The sequence below is a fragment of the Homo sapiens genome, chromosome 17 (assembly GCF_000001405.40).
Source record: "Homo sapiens chromosome 17, GRCh38.p14 Primary Assembly".
Taxonomy (NCBI): Eukaryota; Metazoa; Chordata; class Mammalia; order Primates; family Hominidae; genus Homo; species Homo sapiens.
In genome coordinates, this window is record NC_000017.11 from 65,580,321 (window position 1) to 65,585,193 (window position 4,873).

Sequence of the window (4,873 nt, forward strand, 5' to 3'; positions counted from 1 at the left end):
GGCCAACACCATGTGACTTGAGTAATCTGGCCTAGAATGATGAGCTGAGTTATTTGTTCAGCTTTCTTCTTGAGCTCAGAAATGTGAACTGGGAAACAAAGAAAAAATTTTGCTCCACTGGATTGAAGCCGTGGAGGGGACCAGAACACTGCTAGAGGAATGGCCACCTTGGGCGAGGGGCTTGTTGAGGCTATGAGGGGGCAGGGGCCAGAGGCCAGCAGAGAAAGCCAAGTCCTGGGGACAGAGAAGTCAACAGCAGCCACCTTGGCCAATTCCCCCACAAGCAACGTTATTCTTGCAACACACCCACATTTTCCCTTCAGGTCAACTGAGAGGGTCTCTGGTCCTTGCAACTGAAAAATGTTATCTTACACCTTCCAAAATTTCTATGGCTCTATACTATTATTATTATTATTGCTTTTGAGACAGGTTCTCACTCTGTGGCCCAGATTGGAGTGCACCGGTGCTATCACAGCTAACTGTGACTTTGAACTCCAGGCCTCAAGTGATCCTCCTGCCTCAGCCTTTGGAGTAGCTAAGACTACAGTGTGTGTCACCACACCTGGCTAATTTATTTATTTATTTGTTTATTTTTATTTTTATTTTTTTTTGAGACAATTTCACTCTTGTCGCCCAGGCTGGAGTGCAATGGGGTGATCTCGGCTCACTGTAACCTCCGCCTCCTGGGTTCAAGGGATACTCCAGCCTCATCCTCCCGAACAGCTGGGATTACAGGCATCTGCCACCATGCCTGGCTAATTGTATTTTTAGTAGAGACGGGGTTTCGCCATATTGGCCAGGCTGGTCTCGAACTCTTGACTTCAGGTGATCCACCCACCTCGGCCTCCCAAAGTGCTGGGATTACAGGTGTGAGCCACCACGCCTGGCCCTGGCTAATTTTTTTTTTTTTTTTTAATTTTTTTGTAGAGATGGAGTCTGGCCACAGTGCCCATGCTGATCCTGAACTCCTGGGCTCAAGCAATCCTCCCTCTTCACCCTCCCAAAGTATTGGGATTACAGGTGTGAGCCACCGCATACAGCCTATATAACTTTTAATAAAATAGAGAACCACCAAAAAGGGAAATCCACAGCATGTCAGGTGACCCTGCCATTTTGGAATGCCTTCTTATACCCAGTCACATACTATAAATTCGCCTGGTCTTGTGTCTTTCAACCAGGGCTATAGAAGAGCTAGAGTTCTAGGCTGTTGGGACATTGTGCACCCCTGGATGTCCATCTGGGGCTTTGCCATTAGACAGTCTCAGCCAGGCCTGTTGGAAACAAACTGCCAGGGAAACTGGGCCTCGTCACCTTTGACAGGCACCTTGGCATTGCCTATCTTGTGCTGATCACATCCTCAGACAACGTTTGGTGGATCCCCATTCTGTACTGCCTCACACACTCTCAGCTCTCTCTCTGTCTCTCTCTCTCTTTTTTTTTTTTTTTTTGATGTTGTTTCACTCTGTCGCCCAGGCTGGAGTGCAGTGGCACGATGTTGGCTTACAGCAACCTCTGCCTTCCGGGTTCAAGCAATTCTCTTGCCTCAGCCTCCAGAGTAGCTGGGATTACAGGCGCCCGCCACCACATCCAGCTAATTTTCATATTTTTAGTAGAGACGGGTTTTCACCATCTTGGCCAGGCTGGTCTTGAACTGCAGGCCTCAAGTGATCTGCTCACCTCGGCCTCCCAAAGTGCTGGGATTACAACTGTGAGCCACTGCGCCCAGCCTCTCTCTCTCTTTCTCTCTCTCACACGCAGACACTCACACACGTGTGCACACACACATGCATATGCTCACACACACACAGATGCTCAGACACACCCAAACCAGGACACCAGCAGCCTGGAAATACCGGACAAGAAAGTGGAAGAAAATATATAATGAGTTTGATAGAACCGGGAGTCCATTTCCTGAGCGAGGGGACTTTTGTGAGTGAGTACAGACAGATAGGAGTGATAACTTTCCTGGCCCTATAAGCCTCTAGCATTTCCATCCCCTCACACACTTCTTCCCTTGAAGTTTCTGTTCTTCACACTTCCTGCTATCTCAGGCTCTTGGCCAGATCTGCGGACTTGAAAGGCACAGCAGAATGGCCTCAAATGTTCTTCCTCCTGGATAAAATGCACACAACCACGCTTACCTGTCTATTAGCGGACTTTCTTCCTATTTGCCTGAAATGTGGATTGCTGAACAGAAGAGGCCCAGGATGAAGTGGGAGAGAGGGACCGAGGAGAAAAATGGGAGGAGTATGGACTCTTCTGGTTTTTTTTTTGAGATGGAGTCTCGCTCTGCCGCCTGGGCTAGAGTGCAATGGTGCAATCTCAGCTCACTGCAACCTCCACCTCCTGGGTTCAAGCGATTCTCCTGCTTCAGCCTCCCGAGTAGCTGGGATTACAGGTGCCTGCCACCACACCTGGCTAATTTTTTGTATTTTTGAGTAGAGATGGGGTTTCACTATGTAGGCCAGGCTGGTCTCGAACTCCTGACCTCGTGATCCACCTGCTTCAGCCTCCCAAAGTGCTGGGATTACAGGCGTGAGCCACCGAGCCCGGCCATCTTCTTAAAGTCTAGCTTAGCGCACCCACCAAGCCTAGTGCACCCACCACCATCTCCCTCCAGGCAGACAGGTTTGATGCATCCCAAAGAAAACTGGCTTTGGTGACCTCAAGTCTGGGCCCATATCCCAACTTCAGCATTTAAAAGCTGTGTAAGGCAGTGGCTCACCTGTAATCCCAGCACTTTGGGAGGCCGAGGCAGGAGGATTGCTTGAGCCCAAGAGTTCGAGACCAGCCTGGGCAACATAGCCCCATCTCTACAAAAAAAATTAAAAATTAGCCAGGCATGAAAGCTTGCACCTGTGGTCCCAGCTACTTGAGAGGCTGAGGCTGGAGGATCGCTTGAGCCTGGGAAGTCAAGGCTGTAGTGAGTTGTGATAGCGCCACTGTACTCCAGCCTGAGCGACAGTATGAGACCCTGTCTCAAACAAAACAAACCCAACTCTGTGAGCTTGAGCAAATTTCTTTTTTCTGATTTTTTTTTTTTTTTTTTTTTGAGACGGAGTCTCGCTCTATCACCCAGGCTGGAGTGCAATGGCATGATCTTGGCTCACTGCAACCTCTGCCTCCCGGGTTCAAATGATTCTCCTGTCTCAGCCTCCTGAGTAGCTGGGATTACAGGTGTCTGACACCACAACTTGCTAATTTTTGTGTGTTTTTAGTAGAGATGGGGTTTCACCAGGTTGGCCAGGATGGTTTCGAACTCCTGACCTCAGGTGATCCTCTTGCCTCAGCCTCCCAGCTGTAATCCTCAGCTGGGATTACAGGTGTGAGCTACCACACCTGGCCTAGCTTGAGCAAATTTCTCACCCTTCCTGGGCTTCACTTTTCCCAGTTGCAAAATGGGAATAAGCCGTTCTGTTACGGGAAGGATAAAAGGAGAAATGGACATAAAGGTCCATGCATACCGCAAGTGACTTTCTTCATCTTAGGGAGTCAGACTGTGGCTGCCTTCCCCTCCCGCTCCCCTCTGGCTTCCTCCTGGGAATATGTCCCTCCCAGGAGGCTGGTGGGGGCTGGGCAGTCACCCCAGGCTAGGGGGGCATCCACCTTGCAAACCCTTCCATAGCAGACTGACTGCTTGCTTTGCAGACTGTCAACGGGCAGCGCAGTCCGGGCCCAGGGAAGGGCTAGTGGCAGCTGCAGCTCTGCGACCAGGCTTGGAAACACGTGTCAAACCCTATTCCAACCAGATGAGGCTGGCCTGCTTCCAATGGCCGCTTTCCATCCAAGGTCTGGCCAAGGGGAGCTTTGCCCAGATCCCCTCCACAGGCAGCCCAGGCAGCAAGTCCTATTTGTTCCCCTGAGTCCTCGGGTCCAGACTGACAAGCTCACCTCTCTATTCCGGAGGCTCTGTTCAGAAGGTCCAAGCCATGAGTCATGCAGCCCTGCACTGCTGGGGAAGGTGGGAAGGGTAGGTGCAGGCTCCAGGGCACACAGCAACTGGAAGAAGCCATCTGCCCATCCTGTAGGTATGGTCCTCTCCCTGACAAGGCTGGTCCTCTCCCTGACAGGCAGGGGAAGGAGCTGGGTAAAAGAAGAGGACGAAGAGATGCTCTCCAACCACCACAACATGGGGCAAACATAGGCCTCCTCCAGCGAAGGGAAATATCCCATATGCAGCAGATGGGCCTGAGGCAGGTGGCCAGAGAGCCAGTGACTTCTCTTTTTGCTGCTTAGAAATGGTGGCTGAAAAAAACACACATGCCACCACCACCCAAAAAAACTAGAGAATGCAGCATACCAGCAAAGAGTCACAGAAGGAAAGGAAATCCAAATGTTTTGAGTTTAGCTATTAAGCATAGTTTCCAGCGAGTGTACTCATGTCTTGAAATGAAACAGATGAAAGCAACATGTGTCAATGGTTGTAGGAAGGCAATAATGTCATCAACAGGAAATAAAGAAATTGAACACTGAAGCCTCAGCCCAGAACTTAACTCTTCTCTTGCCCAGGTCCCCAAGGCTTTCTGCATGAAGACTGAGGACACTTCCTGCAAGACTAGGTCACTGCCTCTCTCCACCTGCCTGGAAGGTCCTTGAGGCACCCCCTGCAAGGATCACGAGCACCTGAGAAGGACTTGCTTTGTTTCTTAAGGGATGTGGCCTTGGAAGAAAGGGAACCCCAAGGGACCCTGGCCCAGCTGAAGAGGAAGCTGCACAGCCTCTCTCTCCATGAAGAGGCTACAAAGCCTTGGCTGTGGGATCACAGTTCCTGGCAGGGACAGTGCTGGCTGCTGGAAGAGCCAGCAAAGCCAAGGCCAACGTGCTGGCACTAAAAGGGCTGGTGGCGCCACCAGGAAGTCCCGCAGGCCCCAGG

The 4,873-nt window shown here is 50.9% G+C and overlaps 1 annotated feature.

Moving 5' to 3' along the window:
- Positions 3,180–3,714: an enhancer, noted in NCBI's record as "H3K4me1 hESC enhancer chr17:63579618-63580152 (GRCh37/hg19 assembly coordinates)". NCBI's record gives its function as "activates a minimal SCP1, AML or CMV promoter by ChIP-STARR-seq in naive H9 embryonic stem cells {active_cell/tissue: H9 hESC(naive)}" and the evidence as "EXISTENCE:reporter gene assay evidence [ECO:0000049][PMID:30033119]".